This window comes from Homo sapiens, chromosome 21, assembly GCF_000001405.40.
Source record: "Homo sapiens chromosome 21, GRCh38.p14 Primary Assembly".
Taxonomy (NCBI): Eukaryota; Metazoa; Chordata; class Mammalia; order Primates; family Hominidae; genus Homo; species Homo sapiens.
This window is the reverse complement of record NC_000021.9, coordinates 21488101-21512733: the sequence shown is the minus strand read 5'-3', so window position 1 is coordinate 21512733 and position 24633 is coordinate 21488101. Positions and strand designations below refer to the sequence as shown.

Here is a 24633-nt window from a genome sequence, read left to right as displayed (position 1 = left end):
AAGGCATTTTATGTTGGTGGATTAAAACAATAAATGTTGTCAAAATGTCCATACTACTCAAAGAAATCTACAGATTCAATGCAATTCTTATCAAAATGCCAATGACATTCTTCACAGAAATAGAAAAAAAGATCGTAAAATGTATATGGAAACACAAAAGACCCACAAGAGCCAAAACCATCCTGACTCAAAAGAACAAAAGTGAAGGAATGACATTACCTAACTTCAAATTATACTACAAAGGTATAATAAACAAAAAAGCATGCTACTGGCATAAAAACAGACACACAGACCAAGTGAAATGGCGTAGAGAACCCAGACATAAACCCATGCATTTACAGTAGAGTTATTTTTAACATAGCTGCCAAGACATTGGAGATAGGGAAGTCTCATCAATAAATGGTACTGGGAAATCTGGACATCCATATATAGATGATGAATGTAGACCCCTATCTCTTGCCATATACAAAGAACAAATCAAAACAGAATAATGACTTAAATCGAAGACCAAATCTATGAAAGTACTAGAGTAAACATGGGGGAAACACCTCAGATCATTGATCTGGGCATAAATTTCTTTGAGTAATACCTCTCAAGCATAAACAAAGCAAACATGGACAAATGGGATCACACCAAGCTGAAAAACTTCTGAACACTAAAGGAAACAATTAACAAAGTGAAGTGACAACCCACAGAATAGGAGGACATGTTTATAAAGTACCCATCTGACAAGGAGTTAATAACCAGTATATACGAGCATCTCAAACAAAACAGGAAAAAAACAAAACAAATAATCCAATTAAAAATGAGCAAGTGATCTGGATAGACATTTCTCTCAAAAGACAACATACAAGTAGACAGCAAGTATACAAAAAATGCTCAGCATCATCATCAGAGAAATGCAAATCAAAACCATAATAAGATATCATCTCATCCCAGTTAAAATGGCTTGTATCCAAAAGACAGGCAAAGATGAATCCAGATGATGATGTGAAGAAATGAAAACCATTATACACTTGTGGATTAGTGGGAATGTAACTTAATACTGTCACTATGGAAGACAGCATGAAGCTTCCTCAAAAAACTAAAAATAGAAACTACCATGTGATCCAGTGATTCCTCTGCTTGGTATATATCAAAAATTTTTAAAAAAATCAAGAGATATTTGTACTCCCATGTTTATTGCAGCAATATTCAGAATAGCTAAGATCTGGAATTGACCTAAGTGTCCATCCATGGATGAATGGATGAAAATTTGCTAAATACACAATGGAAAATCATTTGTGGAAATATTGGTGGAACTGGAGAAAATTATGTTAAGTGAAATAAGTCAGTGCAGAAAGAAAAATATTGTGTGTTTTCATTCATATGTGGGAGCTGCAACAACAACAACTTAAACTCATGGAGAAAGAGAAAAGAATAATTGTTAGCAGAGGCTAGCAAAGGTAACAAGGAAGGGGGAATGGGGGATTAAGTAGGAACAGTTAATGGGTATGAAAATACAGTTAGACAGAATGAATAGGATTCAGTATTTGGTGTCACAATAGATTGACAACAGCCAAAAATAATGTATCAGATATTTACAAATAACTAAAGGAGGAGAATTGGAATGTGTTCCTAGCACAAAGAATTGATAAAGGTTTGAAGTGACAGATACCACAATTATTCTGATTTGATTATTACATATTGTATGCCTGTATCAAAATACCCCATATGCAACAAGTATAAACTCATTTATGTAAAGTACAAAACAGGAAAAAGTAATCTATGGTGCTATGAAGTCAGGATATTGCTTAGCACGAGATTGAATAGGGACAGGAAAGGAGACGTAGATAATAAAGTTCTTTTTCTTGATTTGAGCGTTAAAAATGGGCATGCTCAGCTTGTGAATATTTATTAAACTGTACACTGATAATAGCTAAGCCTTTTAGAATATTATACTTCCATGAGAGTAAAAATGTTAAAACAATTAGCAAAAAATGCAGAAATATGTAAAAAATGATATATATTTTGGCATATATTTTAAAAGCCAAAACTTTAAAGTAAAAACTTTTCAAATAAAAGAATTATCCTTAAAATTTAAGGTGTAAATGATACAATGGAACAAAATTATATGATAAAGCCAAGACAAAATGTGTCTATAAAACAGTATGAGACCTTCCACGCTTCAACAGATGCATAGAAAAAGAATATAAATGATTCAACAATAAAAAAGCATCAGTCCTTGAAATACAAAACATGAATGGTCCTAATACAACATTTTTGAAGATGTCAGATACAGAAGGGTAGACACTGCAGGAATCCATTTATGTGAAGTTCCAAAATAAGCAAAAACTATCTGTGGTGAAAAATCAGGAATAGCAATGGCCTGGGTGAGGGAGGTTAATGTGGGTGGACTGGATAAGGAAATGAGAGAACTTCCAGAATGTGGTGGTAAGGTTCTGAATTGTGATATGGCTTTGTGTTACACATATAAAAACATTTGTCAAAACTCTTCAACTGAAACATTTGGTGCATTTTATTCTGTGGCTTTACTTACATAAATGTAAACACCTTTTAGACTGTATGTAATGATATGCAAGTTGAATTATGTAGGGGTTGTGTGATGATTTTTTGAAATTCAAGAAAATATAAGGGATTAACGTATGAATAAACATATGACAAAATAGCACAAAATGTTAATTGTGGAACCCAACTAGTTGTTTGCTTTAAAGTCTTTCAACACTTTTGTATGTGTCAGAAAAAGTATGCAGTAGAAAGGACTTAAGGTTAAAAATAATAAAGGGAATGTCCTGAACTCTTAAGACTGTTTATTTTTTGATTGCTGTGTTTAATGCACACATGTATATGTATACAAACCCACACATAACACACAAACGTGTGTGCATATGTTTGTGTATGATTTCCTGTGCTTGCTGAATTTTTTGCATTGATCATATTCTACTTTTGAAATTAGATCTATATCTATGTAAAGACAAACACAATAAAACAAAATGGAAATATTAAAACATTGTAATTTCCCTTTTACAGGACAAAATAATTTTCTAAAAAATCGATCTACATACTTTCTTGAAAATTATATCTGCTTAACTAAATAGAACTACACAGAGAGCTCCAAATTCTAACAAGTAATCAACTTTTGATCAAATTTTAGAATAGTATATTCAGAATCTGTAATATTGTATTTTATAGCACATATCATATTTTCTATACAAAAAATCATGAAGCCTGTTGTAATCATGCCTTACGTTTGTAGAAGTTGCCACAATTTTGTTGTTTTTAACTCAGTTCAACTGAGTTTTTAGCTCAGATTATTGTTGAAGCCTTTCTTTTATTTAATATAAACAAAACCGGTGGAATAAATCAAAATGGAATACATTTGCACAACTATCCATCCATCTATATGTTTATCATCTATAAATCATGGTAGTGATTCTTTTCAGTGAAGATCCCATTGTGAGGTTTAATTTTGAATAAACTGTTGTCAAAGTCACTTTGTTCTAGGTTATATATAAGGATACATAGTTTCAAGGTCAGAGAGCAGGCAGTGCAGTGTCCAATGTTGCATAATCAAACTCTTTACCCTACTCCTTTACCCTACAACGCCCTCAGGTAAAGCACTCGAGCTTGACTGTGGCGCTTGTTTAATATGACATGATGTAGATGCCTGATACTCACAGGTATGCAGCTTTTCCTTCTTCGAGTTCTTTACTTTTGCCACTGGAGCCACTTTTCTTTCCACACATTCTCCTAGTGATGCACATCAGCAACCCACATTGCCGAATAAAGAAGCAGCTGACGTCTGTTACCACAAGAATTAGCAGCAGTGCAGCAACTCCCAGGCCAATTACTGCTCCAAGCCCAAGACCATTAAACAGCGTGTCTTAAAAAGTAAAAAAAAAAAAAAAAAAAAAAAAAAAAAAAAGGAAAAAAAGTATTAAACCTCTAAATTAGAAAATATTAGATGATTATTTTAAAAATAAATCTTTTCCAATAATTCAATTTAAGAGACAGAATAAAGTCATAGTAACCGGCAGAATTCAATTTCATGATTGTTGACGCCTATTCCCTGGTTTCAAACAATATTTTAAGCAATTGATTTGTTAATTATGTGACTATCTTTTTCAAACTTCTTTTTTTTTTATTAACAAAGAAAAAGTGTCTAAGTACCTCTTCTTTTAAATATACCTCTTGAATCCCTGTGGGGAAGATAATGAATATTATCATATCCCTAAATGTACTTTATCAGAAAATGACACCCATTAATAGATCATAATGTTAAAAGAAAATTATAATCAAAACTTCTGTGAAAAGTGTTAAATAAATCTTCTATATGAGATTATGTTAGTTTTAAAACTTAAACTTGAAAATGGATGGTTCTGAGCGCGTTATTTTAACAGAGAATGTATTTAAATATACCTTTTTATGAATATTTTAGGAATCATCATTTGGCAAGAAATGGATCACCTGTATTTCTCCAGTTAATATTTTAACAAATATATTAGATTAAAGGCAACATTTTATAGCTATGGTATTTATGACCTTTTGTTAGTTTCTACCATGAGAAGGTAGGAGAAGGTGGAAGCCACTTTTCTTTGGCATATGGTTGCAGGAAATCCCAAAAGACATAAAGAAAGTAACCATGAAAGAGGTGAATAGGAAGAAGATGAAGTATTCTGATTGATAAAATTGAAATGGCAAGTGGAGCAAGTAGTAATGAAGATGAATCACGTGTTACGTGTTTGTAGTAGAATCTGAGGGTAGACTCCGCAGCTATAACAATATGGATCAGAAAATAATAACAATGAAAAGAAATAAACTGGTGATAATGTATTATCTAGAAGAATAAGGAAGAAATATAATTTGATAGGCATTCAAAATGATTCTTAACACATGTTAAGAATTAGCTTGCATAACAGTTTAGTCTTTTTTTTTTTTTTTTTTTGAGATGGAGTCTTGCTCTGTCACCAGGCTGGAGTGCAGTGGGGCGATCTCGGCTCACTGTAACCTCCACCTCCCGGGTTCAAGCAATTCTCATGCCTCAGCCTCCCGAGTAGCTGAGACTACAGGCGCCACTGCACCTGGGTAATTTTTTTGTGTTTTTAGTAGAAACGGGGTTTCACCGTGTTAGCCAGGATGGTCTCGATCTCCTGACCTCGTGATCCGCCCGCCTTGGCCTCCCAAAGTGCTGGGATTACAGGCATGAGCCACCGTGCCTAGCCCAGTTTAGTCTTTTTAATGACAAAATGCATTTATTACTCAGCATAATAACTGCATGTTCAAATATGTAACTGATGTGAAACACAAGTGACAGATACGGGTATAGATGTAAATTTGAACTGTGAGAAAACCACTCCTGAAAAAATATGTATATAAAACCTGTATTTGTTTTATATATGTATAAAAAGTTTTCCTATGTGATATTTTTAAACTTAGGTTTAATATTTTAATAATGACTTGAAGAAATAGTGATCCAAAGGAAATAGTGATCCAAAGGAATCAGAACAACTGCTAACATACAAAAGCAAGCACTAGCAGGTCGACTTTGAGTATGTCAGACTTGTCTGAATACTAGTTCTGTAGGATGACTGAGTGTCATGTCTACATTATTTTATTTTTTTTTTCAAAAAATAGGTTTAAGTTATTTTTATTTCTTATAATTCTAAAAGCAAACAGCTCAGTTTTGAAAAAAAAAATCATTCAATTTGTGATTTTGCCTGGCACTTCATCCCAGCAACTTTGTGGTTCACACTTGCAAATATACTTCTACAATGTCATCATGATACGGCAAATGAGAATTACTTAGTCACTGAATTAACAAATTTAGAATGCTCATGTCCAAGCAAGTATAATTTTTATTGAAATTATTTTGTTTTTCATGAAGAAAAACTAGTGATAAACACAAGGTAGTGAAAAAAAATAATGTATTAATGTCAATTTCAATACCTTCCTATACCAAATTTTAACATGCTACTTAGATGGTGATAGTTTAGTAAAATTGCTTAGCTAGTATCCGGGAATTTTCTGGTTTCGACAGAACTATTATCTTTGCACATGAAACCACTTGAGGAATAACTAGAGAAAGAATAGTATTTTCTCAGCCATGGGGATTTAATATTTTTTTTTAGTTTGCAAAATCTCAATAAACAAGTGTAGAATGAGATTCCAAAGATTAGTTATCAGTTTTTCAAAGGTATATCTCTATGCATGAATTAAAAAAGAACTATTGCCTCATGCTACAAAAATAATATATCAAGCAAGCTAGGATTTCTGTTTGCAGTTAAAAAAAATCATGGTATATATTTTCTTCCATTATCCATTTCCAAATATAAATGACTCACTTCTGAATCTATCATTACAATACAGTGAAATCAACTTACCTATGAAACATGTTTGATTATATGAAAATACAATATTTTCTTCAATTTCAAATGTATTCATTTTAGATATGTTGCACATTACTCAACAACTAAAGCTCAGGAAAAAAAATTGGAAAAAAATATACAATTGTGGTTTAGCCCTGGTGTATACATTCACATGATGATCCTATTGGTTTGAATGGATCACTCTTCTGCTACTTCGTTTAGGGTCTTCTCACATGCAGATAGTTCTAGGCAATAAATCCTATAGATCAATGACAATATATCTGATTTATTATACACATTCCCATTTACCTTTCCTAAGTATGAAGATTCTTGCTTTGTTCTTAAAAACACTGCATCAGGAGTAAGAAACGCCTGGTTTCATCACTTACCATCATTAGCTTTTGGGGTAAGCCATCTAGTATCTCTCAGACTGAAGTGCCTCTTTATTAAAATGGAGACAGTAATAATAAAAATAACAACCAAAAATAGGTCACAAGTTTGTTGAGAAGATTGTGTGAATGTGGTAATGTACTTAACCTCCAGCACTTATTGCCCAGTACAAAGTAAAAATCTAGCAAGTACTGCTTATAATTATTTTAATATTATAAAATTGATATTTAGTATTATAAAAATGATATTTCAACTAAAAATTATCTAATGTTAAACATTAAACTATTCTGTAAGCACATCTTTTCAGCAGTAATCTAAAGTGGAAGACTATCTCTTATTAAGTAATGATTATTCTCTTGAGGCTAAAGTAAGTTTTTTTTTAATAATTCAGGTTTGGCTAGTTAGCTTTTAAATGACAAGTATTTCATCCTGTGACCTTTTTAGCATTAAACTAGTATAATTATATGCTTCATTTTTATCTTTAGAAAAGCTTTCAGAAAAATTATATATGTAAAACATCTTCATTTTTTGGCTTAAACAAAAGAAATTTATTTCTTAACAGTTATGGTGGTTTAGAGTTTGAGGTCAAGGTACCAGCATGATTGGATTCTGGTGAGGGCTCTTTTCCTGGCTTTGCAGACAGCTTCCTTCTCACTGTGTGATCACTTGTGGGATAGAGACTCAGAGAGAACTCTCTTTTCCTTTTCTTTTAAGGCCATTGATCCCATCAGATTAAGATCCTACTCTTTTTTAACCATATAGGAGCCCTATTTTATTATGGTGAAGAATTGCTAAAATACTAATAGCTAGTACTTTTTTCTATATATAGAAAATTAACTTTATAAACTTATTACAATCGTAGGTTGCTTGAAGTTATTTTTATGAAAAAATAAGTATCTTTTTGTCATTGCAGAGGATAGAAGTGAACTTCAAATAGGTTTGTGTTAAAAATAGAATAAGATCAGGTATTTAATAGCACAACAGGATGACTATAGTCAATAATAATTATACATTTAAAAATAACTAAAAGTATAATTGGATTATTTGTAACACGAAAGATAAATGCTTGAGGTGATGGATACACCATTTTCCCTAATTTGATTATTACACATTGTATGCCTGTATCAAAAGTTGTCATGTACCCCACAAATATACAAATGTACTATTCTCTGAAAAAAAATTAAAATTGAAAAATAATAAGTTTATAAGTTTTGTCTTTTGAAAGTTATGTTCTATGTATGTATATACATATTATATATATATTAAATGTCACCTTGAGGATGTATTTAAATGCTTATACTTTCTCATATCTCATGAGGTTAGGCTGTTACAACTATAAAAGTTAAGTATTTTAATTATTTTCTCTCACCAATTTACTCTGGCATAAAAAGTCCACTATTTGTACTCTGGACGTTTCACAAATAAAACCATAAGCACATATGAAATGACATCATTAAGATTCGGGCACTACTAATGATGTATTTTCACAATAACATCCAGAACATTCATTTTTATTAGTTAATCATGGTTTATTACTTAGGAAATCAAACCTGAGCATAAGTAATAATTTAAATAATTGTAAATCCATTTTTTATTTTTTAAGATCATCAGAATACTTACACTTACGACTTATGGTGTAAATTTTATGGTAACTTTATAAGGTAGGAAAACAATATTATCAGTTCTAATTTACATAAAAGAAAACTGAGATCCAGAGAGGTCATTGGCCTAAGTCACATACTAACCCCTAAAATGAGAACTGTACACGTGAATCACTAATTAACTCCAGGTTGTATACTTTTTATACTTGTGTTAGAGTCAACATTTTATCTTGGATATTCACCAACGAGTAATGAAAAGATATGGATAAAATACAGTACAGCAATACAGCAAATACATTAAAATATGTATTATTCTTATAGAAAAATGTCAATATCCATATACCTTTAATATTATTTGGAGGTACAACTATTTAACAACTATTTAAATGAAAAACATCAATGTAAATTATTTATCTAACTTATATTTCTGCTTTAAGCTTCCTCTTTAATGATCATTTTGTATTGCTGTTATGAAAAATGGGCTTCATAATTGAATAAGAATAAATAATTTAGAATATAAAAAGTTAAAAATATATTTGGTTTATATTTTACTATTAAAAGCAACTGTGAGAATCAGTTTCCCTCTGAGCTGCATTTTCTCTAACCCCATGAAATTTGGAAATTGACTTTCTAAATCTGTTTCCCCATATCTTCTTGTAATTGCATTCAAATTTTCAGCCAAACATAAAATCAAAGTATTAAAGTATGAGAATCCAAGCTTCATTCAAATGTCTTATATACAGTAGTCCCTCCTCATCCAGTTTTGCATTCTGCAGTTTCGGTTATCTATAGTCAACTGTGGTCCAAAAATATCAAATGGAAAATTTAAGTATACAATTCATAAATTTTGAATTTGAGGCCATTCTGAGTAGTGCGATGAAATATCTTGCTATTCCTCTCTGTTGTGACAGGGACACAAATCATCCCTTTATCCAGCATGTCTATGTTATCTACACTACCCACCTCTTAGTTACTTAGGAGCTGTTTCAGCCCTCTATTGTCAGTCTCAAAGCGTTCATGTTCAATAACCCTTATTTTACTTAATAATGGCCCTTATACACAAGATTAGCGATGCTGGAAAATTGTTGTAATTGTTCTATTTTAATAACAGATATTATTGTTAACTTACTGTGCCTAACTTGTAAATTAAAGTTTATCATAGGTATGTACGTAGAGGAAAATCTGTATATGTAGGGTTAAGTACGATCAAAGGTTTCAGGCATCCACTGAGAGTTTTGGAATGTATCTCTGGCTAAAGCAGGGACTATTGTATGCGTCTTTTCATGTTTCTGTTGTATAAATTAAATCCCAACTGCAATATTAAAATATTTGTCCATGAAATGTATTATATTTGATAATACTAGCTTTTCAAAAACCACTGCACTATTAGATTCATAAAACTAGCCATGCTTTTTGACTCCTTATATAGTTCAATGTTTTATTTAACTTTTTTCTATGTGCATGTATCATCTTCTCCAGGTAGACTGAAAATTAATTTCAGGACGTGGAAAGCTGCAATAAAGACATGGAGAAAAAAGTCAGAGTCCTAAGATGGTGATTGGTTGCTGTTTCCAGAATACTGGTAGCTATTTTCATAAGAGATATTGTTGGATGCAGCAGGCAAGTAGGTTAAGCATATGAAAAGAGAAGACATTAAATAACTCTGATTGGTGTTGATGATATTACTACGTACGGTATCTTTCCACATTGGTGATAAGTCTACATGACTCTTAATTATATGTTCTTACTTCGTCCTTCGTAGTACAATATACTCCCTAACATCAAATGATATTTGGAAAATTTTGGCCTAAGTCTATAGCAAATACATACATGTATATGAGGAAAAACTAAAGAAGATTAAAAAATCCCCTGCAACTTGAAATTCTACCTGGTGATATCTAATCATGGGGGATGTTTTAGTTTGCTTTGTAGATTAAGGTCAATAGACATGAATTCAACAATACTTTTGTGGAATCTTATGAAGTGAAATTAAGTTAAGAATATTTTAAAACATACTCTTCAAAATTACCTCAAATTTGAATCATTTAAATAGTGCAGAGTTAATCCTACAATTAAATAAATTTGATACATGGATAGAAAATTGAGAGAATTAATAACTGTTCTTTAGAGTTTCAAAAAATATTTTTAGAAATTATCCATTGTAAAACATACCCCAAAAGTATCTTCTTTGAGAGGCATGAGTATAGTCTAAAGTTTCACTAACTTCTATTCAAAATGGTTTGAGAAATACTTAATATAAAGTGTCAAAATGTTGAAAACATTAAATTTACTTAATATAGTCAAGCAAAACAACTAGGCAAAATTTTTCTCGCAAAATACTTTAGTCAGTAGAAATGTTTCCTCCAGGGGATAGAGACTTTTTAAAAATTTGGAAGGTATCTAATTACTCTTATTTACCAATTTCTGGGAAATGTATTATCAGTGTTGGACTTCACAGGGATACTTCTTAAAATATTGCTGATTTGGATTTGAATGGCTTTGTAAATTACTGAAGTAAAACTATGATTGTAATTTTTAATATTTGAATTTGGTATACTGAAACTTAAAGGGCAATTTCTCAAAAATTACAAGAACACAGTCAATTAGTCTTGTTTTGATTGCATTTCTGGTGTGGAGAAAGGTGGAGTAGGCATCTTTCTGCAGCAGGGCTCCATCTAGGTCAGAATTGACAGCTACTTAAGAAGTCAAACATCTGGATAGTCTAAAGACTTCTGCAGCTACATAGCAAAAAAAAAAAAAGGAACATTAATCCATGTATGCTTCATAAACATTGATTGACTGTCTAATAAAATAGTGCAGAACCAGAAGGGTTGCCTAAAATGTACTAAAATAGAATTAATAAAATTAACATAACTCTTTAGAAATATTATACTTCAAGTCCATATTTACTTAGGGAGCATTATAAATTCCCTTATATAATTTCATCCATTGAATTACAAAAGACACGACAAAGGAGCTAATGGATATGATATTTACATTAACAAGGGCATACTGGTAATAGTTAACATTATGGCAAAATTTTGCGTTATGGAAGACACATTCTGAGATAATACATAGTTTTAAAGAAAAATGCATTGCACTAATTTAAAAACCAATTAACATTTCTGAGATTTATACAACGCTTCTTGTTGTGTTATGTTAGGCAAGCAGTCTACCAAGATTACCTATTCCTTATAAACCTGGATATTATATTAAATTGATGAATTAAATGTTTGTTTTGTGGCATTTTCCATAGAATTCCCTTGAATATACAAAGAGTAAAATGTAGTTCAAAGAGTCAATGTGTAGCAGAATGTAGAAAGAATCAATCAAAGCAGATACTAGACTAGGTGAGCAAAATAGTGTTCAAAAATAATTTTTTTAAAATTAAATGCTCACGGCTTTAAAAATGGTGGGGATATTGAGAATAAACTGTATTCATAATGTTCTTCCAGTATAAAACCAAACAGCATCCTTTACATTTCTTAACAGAAGCCACTTGTCACGAAATAAAATAGTACTCTTCAACATTATGGAGTTGTGAAGAGAGATGTCTTATATTAACAAAACTTCCTATCTTCTACAGGGAAGACCTTACATGTTAATCACAAACTTACTTACCAAATAGTTTAAATGAGTTAAGATTCATGTTTGGACTTTGATAGACTTCTCTCAGTTAAACTACATAGATAATTAGAAATATATGTATAAATGTTTTCTTTATATATTTGTGGGTGGTAAGAAAAAAATTATTCCAAAATATTTATCTTTATATATTTGAAAGAACATGACTTTCAGATCGCATTTGCATGTGTTGTAATTACAGGTAGAAAAAAAGGAAAATGAAAATTTTGATTTACGCAAGTTATAAAATTCACTGAATTTTATATGGAACCACTGATACTAGCAATCCGAGCACAATGTAACACTATTTCCATTTCTCTGAACAGGTTTTTCTTCTGCATCACACCAGGTGGGGCCTCTTGCATTTTTGCTACCTGTAGTGCATCCCTAAATGGATAGATTTATTCAATTTTAATTCACATTAAAACTCCTTATTTGAAAGAAGTGTTTGTACTTTTGAGGTTTCCAATGTTTAGTCAATACTCCTTTAATTGTATCAATTAGAGAAAAAAGAGAAAAATCATGGCAAATTTCATTAGCAAGGATGATTAAAAATATCATTTGACATTCATTCAAAATTTAAAAAAATAAACAGCACACTCAACAGCAACCATGATTGAATTTTATATTCTTCCTTCCTTCTAGAAAACTTTTAAAATTGTTTCCTGTATATATCTAGAGAAGAGCTGAGTATCCACTTCCAAGATGGGTGTTTTTATTTTAAATTATAAACAGGTAGTATTTTATAATATATATTGAAATATGTAATGCACATTATAAAACAGAAAAATAAAAAGATGAGTTGATATAAATGCACTTGGAAATTCTAACATTTTATATCTTCAGAGTGAATTATATTTTTCACCCATTTTGTGGTCCATATAATACAATTGGAAATATCTAAATAATATTGTTGTTTCATTCCCAGTTTCATTGTTGGTAAAATGGTGATATACATATCTAGTTATCTTAATGAAAATGCTCTTTTAGGCTCAAGCAAGAAAGTACTTTGGGAATTCCAAGTCATTATATACATATGTTATTATTTCATTTGTTAAATCTATTATTTTAAAAACATTCAGTTTAGAGTAGCTTCTTGTTACTTGTTGCTTATAGCAGTATTTTTTTTTAAACTAGAACTTCTCCACTTTTATACAAAACCTTCCTAGATTTTAGCAAGTACAAACATTTTGTTTTAAAATTTATTGTTATTGGCCAGGCACAGTAGCTCACACCTGTAATCCCAGCACTTTGGGAGGCTGAGGAGGGCAGATCATGAGGTCAGGAGGTCGAGACCATCCTGGCTAACACAGTGAAACCCTGTCTCTACTATAAGTACAAAAAATTAACTGGGCGTGGTGGCACGCGCCTGTAGTCCCAGCTACTTGGGAGGCTGAGGCAGGAGAATCGCTTGAACCTGGGAGCTGGAGGTTGCAGTGAGCCGAGATCACGCCACTGCACTCCAGCCTGGAGCGAGACTCTGTCTCAAACAAACAAATAAACAAAACATTATGTTATTTGTTTAATATGTTATCTTCATTAAGGCTTAAGGCTTCAGATCATTTCCATTCTTCTACTTTTAGCTACGCATTTTACTGTGGCCAGAATCAACAAGTTTTTAAAAATTTTAATATTATTCCTTTTTTATTTCTTCACTTCTTAGCTAGTAAATTTTGGTTTTGGTCATTGCTATATTCCTAATTGACACTATAAAATTTTTCTTCATCTTTTTAAAACTCATGTGAAGATGGAGGAAGTCCATATAATTTACTAATGCTCTTACTGTCACTCATATATGACTTTGGCTTTTGCTCAGTTTTGAGATAAGGAGATACTGGATTTTGGGAGGCATTCTCTTCTTCTATAATTCATTTTGCCCCCTAGTACATTATTACGTTTTTGTGATCATTAACATATTTATTGTATTATTATTTTGTCCAATATTTTAGATCAATTCATCTTCATTGTAATAAAACATAAAATTATAACTTTTAAAAGATTGTTACAAAGTGAATCAAAATCACCTCCCCAAAATAAATACTGTACTTCTTTTGTGTTCTAATCTTTTACTCTGGTATGTCTCGGCTCCCTCTGGACAGCTCAGAGTATTTATGAGATTATAAAAAGGCATTACATCTTTCAGCTCCCTGACAAAATGCACTTATTGGCAACTTTTTTAAGTTCACTCAAGTTCGCAGTCATCATATATAAAACTGCTTACAGAAATAATTGAATGAGAGCTGTATGGGTACAACATGTGTTACAGAAATAATTGAATGAGAGCTGTATGGGTACAACATGTAATCTCCTGTAATTTTCAATGAATAATTTGAAAAGAAAAAGTATGTAATGCTAGTAATGTCTGTGATGGCTGTGAAAAAAGCATTGTTATCTATGAAGAGAAAACTGCAAAGAGTGTCTTTTTAAGAGATAAATTCTATGAAATGAGTTTTGGAATATTAAAAATAATAATGCTTAAAAACATTAAAAATCAAAATTAAATTATAATCAGGAATACAGCACTTAATTTGATGAAATTACACCAGCTTATGGATTGTGTGTGGCCAGTTGGAGGGATTTTTAATTTTTAGAATCACACACAAGTTATTTGCTCTATTTTCACATACGTATATAATGAGTTCATTGGAACTCTTTTTAGATCTATAAATAAATTATAAAAGTTTATACTGGACATTAATACACTGATGTAGATTGTGTAAAATCATTTTACATAATTTCCAGCTCTTTTAGTCCCTTACAATACTATTTACAGCATCCACATATTATTTGGGGAATTTGAAAACTTTAGGTTTTAAAAATTCTGAGTAAAATTCATCAACAATTTTCAACATTACTTAAATAAATAAAAAAAGGCTAATGCTTATTTATATATGTTTTACATCCTCAGGCTATTTTTGGTAACTTTCAATAAGGTCGTTTTAATGTACCATTTTATGTGTACTTTGCTGAACAGTCTTGATGTAGACATTTTATTACTTACTACCGAATTTCTTTTCCCAGAATGCTTATTCTTTAGGGGGTAGATGTATGTATTTCCCAACACTTATTCTTCAGTACTGAGTCTCCATTCTCTAATGATTTTAAATGTTTTGTCAAAATGTTGTTACACGTATAAATAATTGTTTTGTAAATAAACTCAGTGGCAATCCAAAATTTTCCTTCAAATCACTTCAAAATCCTAGGAAGCTTATCAGGGATTCGGAACAGTAAAAAGGTAGCACCGATAACCATATCCTTTTATTTGCTTTTTCTTAATATCTGATTCAGGGCAAGAAAAAGTAGCTAATTGAGAATATTTGGTTAAAAATGGGGGAACTATAAACAAGTAGATTATAGGAATGGCATTTATAATTGTAAAACTGTATACCTTTTAGAATTTCAACTTTTATTTTTGATGTAGGGGGTATATGTGCAGATTTCTTACATGCGGAAATGCATGATGCTGAGGTTTGGAAGTCATATCACCCTGATAGCGAGCACACAGCTTGATTGATTGGTAGTTTTTTAACCCACACCCCATCCTCTAGTAGTCCACAGTGTCTGTTGTCCCCATATTTATGTCCATGTGTGCTCAATACTTAGCTCCCAGTTATAAGTGAGAACATGTGATATTTTGTTTTCTGTTGCTGAGTTAATTTGCTTAGGACTATGGCCTCCCGCTCTATCTATGTTGCTGCAAAGGACATGATGTCATTTTTTTTATGGCTGTGTAGAATTGGATGGTGCAGATGTGCCACATTTTCTTTATACAATCTACCACTGATAGGCACCTGGCTTGAATGCTCTTAGACAGAACAGAAAACCCAAAGTAATGCCACACACCTACAACCACCTCACCTACAACAAGGTAAGGGGGAAATAACTCTCTATTCAGTATATGATGCTGGGATAACTGGCTAGCCCAATGCAGAAGATTTTATCTGGATCCCTACCTTTCACCATATACAAAACTTAACTCGGGATGGATTAAAAACTTAAATATAAGGCCTCAGACTATAAAAATCCTGGACGACAACCTAAGAAATATTCTTCTTGACATTGGCCTTGGCAAGGGATTTTTGGCTAAATCTCCAAATGAAATAGCAACAAAACAAAAAATAGACAAGTGGGACCTAATTCAACTAAAGAGCTTCTGTATAGCAAAATAAATGATCAACAGGGCAAAGAGAAAATCTACAGAACGGGGGAAAATATTCACGAACAACGCATCCTACAAAGGTCTATTATCCAGAATCTATGGGGAACTTAAATCAACCAGCAATAAATGAATAATCTCATTAAAGAATACGCAAAGGACATGGACAGACGCTTCTCAAAAAGAAGATATACAAGTGGCTATTAAACATATGAAAAAATGCTTAGCATCATTAATCATCAAAAATGTAAATCAAAACCACAATGAGATAGTATCTCGCACCAATGAGAATAATCATTTTAAAAAGTCAAAAAACAACAGATGCCGGTGAGGCCGTAGAGAAAAGAAAATGCTTATACATTGTTGATGGGAATGCAACTTAGTCCAGCCACTGAGGAAAGCAGTCTGGAGATTTCCCAAATAACTTAAAACAGAACTACCATTTGACCCAGTAATCCAATTACCAGGTATCTACCTGAAAGATATAAATCATTCCACCCAAAAGACACGTGCACTCATATGTTCATCATTGTGCTGTACTTTGTTAAAGGGCATGTTTTCATATATATATTTTATATATTATATATATATTTCATATATATATACACACACACATACACTGGGTAATGTATTGGGAAGAGTAAGATACATCATTTAGAAATTAATATGCAGTGTAATTTATTGTTTACCTCTTGGCAAAAAAAATAATGTGAGGTTAGCAAATAGGAGGGAGAAGCATATAAATTAGTGACCAATGGTCAAGGAAACATAATAAAGAAAATAATGTTTGAGATGGTTTTCGAAAATAAGAATCAGGTTCCCATTTGACGTAAGGAGTCCATTTTAATCTGAACATGGCTTGAATAAAAAAAGATGTATGAAACTGTGTGTGATTCTGACATTAGAAAACATACATGGATATTAGAGGTGATTGGTGGGCATTGGAATTTTAGTGGTGAAGGATGCTGTTAAAGAGGATGGAGCTTGCAAGTGAATTCAGTAACAAATAAATAGATCAACCAAATCAAAATTGACAAACAGCACCAAAAACAAACTAGAAATTGTGATCATTTTCCAAAAGATGGTAGGGAGTCATTGGAGGGAAGCAGAATCGTCACAATGGTTTGGAAAGAGCTAGAGGCGGCCTGGGCTATGGTAATGGCTATTAAATGTCTGTCCAGTCTTCCCTCTCTCCTTCTCTCCTATTCCATGCCCATTTCCACACACCATATAAGAATGAGAACTCCTTGGATAATGTTTGGATTGAAAAGGTGAAGAATTAAATAGACTCAGCCCCTTATATATGATTAGTTGTTGAATTAAAATTACATAATTAAAGTCTATTGGTATATTTTAAAAATAGAAACTAAATAAGATAAAATACTATGAAATTGTATAATATATACGTTTATATTTATGTATAACTATTCTCTATATATTTATTTGGAATGGAATTTTAAGTAGCCCCCCATGGCCGCCCTGCTTTTTAAAATATCTACACAATCCCTCTTATAGTTTTAGCTATCCTTTTAGAACAATCTTGTGTAAAAAGTGAACCACTAAAATAGAAGTTTATTATGCTTGTATAGAAATGTTGATGAGAACTTGTCAAATTCTTGTTATCCTTTAAAGTAACTGATTTTAACATAAGAAAAAGAAAGAAACTGAGCTGTGCTTATTTTGAAAAAAATTGGCTAAAAACAAATTCATACATAACAGCTCTTTTGTGATAAATATCACAAAGTACTAAAAATTTTAAAAATAAATATTTTAAAATATCCTTTTAATAAATGTGGTACAACTGTAAACCATGAAAAATCATAAAATATCTGAAGTCTTTGCACAACAAAATATCTATTATCTTATCTATACTGACATTTCACATTATTATGTATGTTGGAACTGAGATCATTTTGGCACATATAAAATATCTTTTGTGTTCTTTAACTATCCAGTTGAACCTCTTCTTTTGATGTTTGCTATTATCTTACTAACTCTAAACTTTTCCAAATACTGTTTAAATTTGGTTATATTTCTGGTTGACTTTGATGGATGCAGTTTGTTTGCTATAAAACAACTAGTGTTTGTATTGATTAGTAGAAAAGGCAGCTTCAAAGATTTGCATGAATATGACCCAAATATGTATTAGCCAGTGTAAAAGAACTGAATAATTTTATTTTTAGTTCTTTGTTTAAGCCCCCACCTGACCAATTTTATTTTTCTGTCAACATTGAAAGGCTGCTCCATATATAGAAAATGAAAAATATATTTTCATTGTACAAACAAAATTATTTTCCTAGACTATATTACAAAATTGAAACATATCTCTATATGATTATACTTCAGTTCATATTTTATAATTTGTTTTCGAAAGTCCAAACTGTTTAATTTTCTCCAATATAAAATTCCTAACTATTTATAAAACTTCTGCGTTTTCTAAACATGTAACAGAATAAATGAAAAATGTGAGCAAATACACAGAAGATACGTATTATTATTTTTCTTGGAATCTATGGTAATTTATTAAGATGTTTAAAGTTTTCAGTTTTAGATACTCACTGCATTCTATCTTAGATATTTCAATTTCTGCTTAGAGTTATACAAAAACATCAATTCTACATTATTAAAACTACATATTTTAAGCATGTAGGGTTTATAAACGTCTATTATTATATAATGCATCTGACTGAAGACATTTTATGCTACCAGCTATCAAATTATAAAAAGACACGTAGAAACCTTGAATGCATGTTGCTAATTGAAAGAAATCAATTTGCAAAGGCTACATAATGTAAAATTGCGACCAAGTGACATTCTGGAAACGGCAAACCTAGGAAATAGTAAAAAGGTCAGTGATTGCCAGGAACTAGTGGAGAAAGGAGGGAGGAAGAGAGGATTTTTAGGACACAGAGGATTTTTAGGACAGTGAATTTATTATGTATGGTACCAAAATGGTGGATACAGGTCATTATTAATTTATCCAAATCCATAAAATGTACAACACCAAGTATGCACCGTAATGTAAACTGTAAACTTTGGGTGATTACAATGTGCCACTGTGGGTTCATCAAGTGTAACAAAGGTACCACTTGGGTGTTAGATATTCATTATCAGGAAGGTTGTGCCTGACTGGGGTAGATGGTATATGGGAGCCCTCTTTAGTTTCCATTCAATCTTGGTGTAAATCTAAAAGTATTTGAAAAACTAAAGTCTATTTAAAAGGGAAAACATGCAATGGTGATATCTCTATTACCTGCATGGAAAGGGCTACTATGCCTAGATTGATTATCTCCTATAAAAACAACTTTTACTTTTCTGTCCTTTAACAAATAAAAAAACTCCACATATTAAGTGAGGAGTAACACATATAGATGCTTTAAAAGGTTTTAGCTTCCTGTTTTTATGTAATAGAATTCAGCAGTGAACCATACCACATCCTATTTTAGATAAATATTTTTCCCTGTTCACTTAAACTTTCTTTCACGACTGAGCCATTTGACAGGACCGTGAGTCACAGGCTATTATATAAAAATTCCATACAAATTTTAATGTTTTCTGCCAACATGCACTAAGAAATAGGATGTTTTTCAAGAGCCAAGGGTAGTTTGCACTTCACATTACATACAAGTATATCCCATTCAGCTATTGTGAAATTATATTCTAGAAACAATAGTAAAATTTAGGTGTGTTATTCATGGATTCTTTAAAACAGAAATGCCAATTTGAAGATAATTTATTTTTTATTTAACCACATTTAAACAGAAAAAATAAAGTCCTCTATCTTGAATACTTGTTTTTAACATTTTGTTTCTCTTTGTAATATTAAATAAGAAATCAGTAGAGAAGCAAACACATAGCTGCTATGCAAATTGTAAGTGTTGAAACTATTTACTTTGAATTCTTAAAATAAAAAGGATGCATATTGAGATGAAAATATCTTACTTTTAGTGGACAGTAAATAAAAATATATTAATTAAAAATTACCTATCTCTACCAACAATGCAAATAAGTAATTTAGTAAGGTGTTATCAAAATATGTGTAAAAAACAAGAAAGTGATGAAAATTTAATTTGATATTCATTTAAAACCATAAACTTAATGTGTGCTTACTTACCTTGGTCATAGGGAAGCAGCTATATGTAAAAGTTTGAGTGAGAAAGATAAAAGCTGACTAATAGAAATACTGTGATTAATGGATGAAACCGTGGTTGTTGTACACATAGCCTTTCCTCTGACACATAGGGATTTTTTGTTGTTGTTCTCCACAGGCCAATCAAGAAAATAGCAAAGGAACTAGACCTAAGACATATGACCATATAACTTATAGGTCAGAAATTTACTTGTACCAACTTTGATTTAGTGTAATACAACAAAGATAGGAGGAAAACTGAGAATCAAAGTTGCTTGACTATATCAATGACTATTTGGTTTTTCTGATCCTCAGTTTGTTGATATAATAAAATAATAGAGTTTGGTTATAATAGCTTCAGATTTTCTCAAATCTCTTTAGTTTCTTCACAATGGCCCAGAATAGTAGAACAATAAAAAATTAATAAAGTAATATATATTTACTACAACAGTAATCATACAAATTCCTAAGAATTCCAAGATACCCTCCATTTGATATCATCCTATTATCAAGGGGATTCAGGAAAAATAAAAACAAAAATAATAAAAAGAAATAACTGTTCTGGTGTATGTTTCAAACTACTATAACTATTGTATCATTTAAAAGAAGTATAAGTATTACAATATATAAGACTTATAAATGCATTAAAATTTTCATTTTGAAATATACACAAGCATGTTTCAAAAGGTGTATAATAATGTATATATTAAAATATACATTTTGGACTGGACTGTCATGGAATAAGAGAAATTAAATATGCTCCAAAACAATCCAAAATCCTGAAAATGAACATTTTCTCTTTTGAATTTTGGCATCATTTCATATTTATCAGGCAATGTAACATTTTGCTCTAAAAGAAAAATATGACTTTTCTGTTTATATCTATGTCAAAAATTATTTTTACACTATAAAAGCTAATTAAATAATTTTTATATTACTTATAGTATTATTCCAAAATTTCAACTTACTATTTGTGTTTCATACCTTTGCAGTGGATAAGCACAGAATGTTAATCAATTTCTGCAACTTTATTCATTTGGTGCCCAAAACAAAAGAAATGACCAAAGGAACTGGAGAAAAATCACTTTACGTGTTTATATTTCCTTTATGGACTTTTGCTAGCAATGGAGACTAGTTAACAATCTTTATATTACTGAAATTGTTAACTATGTTCATGTGTTTTATTGAAATATATGATTATTTTGGCCTCCCACTAGAGATCGATGTTTTTATGAAGACACTAGAACAAGTTTACAATGGAAGTAACAATATTTGATATTGTCACGAAATTATTTTTACAATATACAATTGTTATGAATCTGCTGATGATGTATGGGTTATCCAAAAATTGAGTAACTTAATGAGTATAAGTTTATTACCTGCTCCTAAGTAAATAAATGTTTGTATTAAATTTGATCAAGTTAGATATGACAACACTCGACAAGGACAAAAAAGGCTGTACCAGTAATAAAGAAAACACGTATAACAAAGCTTTTCCTCAGTTTTCTTTATTACAACAATGGAGACACAGAGGTACAGAAAATAAAATGACATTTAATATACTATGAAACACACGCATAGGATTACACACAGTGCTGGATATTATGTTGAGGGTTTTAAATAAGATGATACTGAGGACAATACACTTATAGCATACTTTTTTTTCAAGAAAACAAGCTATGATGAAAACGAATGCAATTAAATGATCAGAAGTACTTTAAAACAGAAGCGTTATACATGACATCAATGAAAATGTAAGAGAAAAATATTCTTGAAAGGGGTACATGAATTGTGTACACTATTTAAAACAGTAGTTGTAATTGCTTGCTTTTTAGGAAAAAAAATAAGACTAGCTAGATTTATGTCGTAGCCCCTATTCAGTACATACATAGAATAAAAATAAAAATATATTTTCTAAACTGAAGTTGTGTCTCATTATTATGCATTCTTTACAGTGTGTAACATATTTTTACTAACTAAAATGAAATGATAAAGACTAATTGAATTTAACTTAAGCATACATAGTTTTAGAACTTTCAATATATCTAAATTTAATACAACCAATATTAGATTAGTTCACAATTAAAATTAAGTTTAATTCTACTTGGATGAAAGTATCCTTAAAAAGTAGATGAAATAATAGTCTACCAACAAAGGAGATGAAATGCAGTTAAGACCATCTCAGAAACACTAATAGAATTCTTAAACATAATTATTTTTTACATTTCTTGGATATTGTTTTTTTTTAGTTTTACAGAATATTAGCTAATACAGATGTTATGGACTATTCCAGGCTATGTGCAACATTTACTGACAGTTCAGGCTTGGAAATTAGTTAATAGCCAGGGAATATGTTGAATTATTACAAGAGATCTTTGTTGAGTTCTTAATTTTAGACAACAAAACTAAAGGTTTTTGGAAAACAAAGCATGGATATTAAACTCTCATCTTTGTCTAATTTTGAAAAAAATAAAATTAGATTTAAACTGAGGGAATGTTTTCCTTAGATAAAAATTGGGATTATGTAAGTATATAGAAGGAATAATACAACTTTGTATTTAAAAGACAAACCATATTAACTTTAGAATAATACTCCAATTTATATGGTAATTGGTAAGAGAACGAGTTAATAAGTGTTAATTTTTTTCTTTAGTTAAGTCCCAAAATTTACTGTGGAAATATATTCTGAATATTATGTTTAACTATCAAATATTAATGATTAAACAATACTATTTATGAGATTAATTTGGAAATGCCTCGTCACCAATTTCAACATAAGTTGTAATCATTTTAAAGACAATTTGTAGAATATCTGTATATTCAGTTATTTGAAATATGCAGATTTCAGCTATCTATCCAATATATTAGATTTGCTGAAGCTTTTATGACATATTTCTATACCACAAAGGTTAGTATTTTAAAATTTACAAACAATGAACAGAAACATAATAGAGGAAATATATTCCATTCATTCATGGCCAAAAATTTAGAAAGGAAGCATAAGAGAGACAGAGAGAGAAAGAGGGAGAGAGACAGAACAAAAGAGAGAAATGGAGAGAAAGAGAAAGGAGGAAGAGACAGAAATAGAGAAAAAGGGAGAAAATTAAAAATAAAGCATTAGAAGAAAGTAAGAAAGGATAAAAGAAAATAAATTTTAAAAAAGTGAAAACATGAGGCTGGGCACCATGGCTCACGCCTGTAATTCCAGGATGTTGGGAGGCTGAAGCAGGAGGATCAATTGGGTTCAGGAGTTCGAGACCAGCCTGGCCAACATGGTGAAACCCTGCCTCTACTAAAAATACAAAATTAGCCAGGTGTGGTGGCTGCACGCCTAGTAGCACACCCAGCTACTAGGCAGGCCGAGGCATGAGTGTTGCTTGTACACAGGAGGCGGAGGTGCCAGTGAGCTGAGATCAGGCCACTGCACTCCAGCTTGGGCGACAGAGCAAGAGTCTGTCTCAAGAAAATAAAAAAATAAATAAATAAAAATTAAAATAGAAAAAGAAAACATAATTAAATTGGACTTATTAAAAGATCATTTAAAGGATGTTACATTATCTCTTACACAGATTAATCATAATAAAACACATAAAGTTACATATTTAGGTATGATCAATATTATAGTTTATCTTTATTCAGTGAGTGAAATCATAATACTACAAGGCCAGACAAAAATATATGTGATAATATTTAGTTTAATACCAGAATTGATCATTTCAAGCTCTTAATGTTGCTTATATCATATTAATATCAAATTTAAACCTTTAAAGAAAACTTTACATGACTAGGGATATTTCTTAATTACTACAAACTCAAATGTTATCATGCATAATACTGGCTATTAGTCTTGAAAGCTAGACCCAAATATATTGTATTATTGTATTGATATCAGTATCCATCTTGAATTATTAAAATAATTTGTAATTTTAAGGTTTTATTTCTCCATTATCAGGGTAAATATACCATATTAATATTTAAAATTATTTTTATGTATCTAAGAATACCTCCAGATCCAAAAGTTCATGGTTTAATTCTTTCTTGTACAATATATTTCATTTAACATAAATGACTAATCATAAATTTAATTGTACGTGGTTGAAACTACTTTGGAATTTTTCTTGTTTTAGCTTTAATTTAACTCAAACATAATGAATGAGTATTCTTACACAGAAAATATTATAATTAATTATAATGGTTTCCCAATTGACACAAATTGCATATTATTGTGTGTAACATGTGCACTAGGATGCATACTTGTAACTTTGTTAATTTAAAAAGAACTTGAATATTTAAAAAGTCAAATTTATTTGCAATAAAATTATTTGTCTTTATATGTATTTGCTATATGTAAGTGAAAATTGCATATAT

General features: G+C 30.8%; 1 protein-coding gene across 10 annotated transcripts in view; it reads right to left on the bottom strand.

The window, feature by feature from the left end:
* Positions 1-24633, bottom strand: part of NCAM2 (neural cell adhesion molecule 2) — a 544921-nt gene that overhangs the window by 30596 nt on the left and 489692 nt on the right. For 8 of the 10 annotated variants that reach the window (NM_001352592.2, NM_001352591.2, NM_004540.5 and 5 more), the window contains one exon: positions 3679-3883. In NM_001352592.2, the coding sequence (NP_001339521.1) occupies positions 3679-3883 (205 nt within the window). Of the gene's footprint in view, positions 1-3678; positions 3884-8319; positions 11095-24633 lie in introns of those variants that run through there. The other 2 variants (XM_047440785.1, XM_011529581.4) reach the window with 1 other exon arrangement.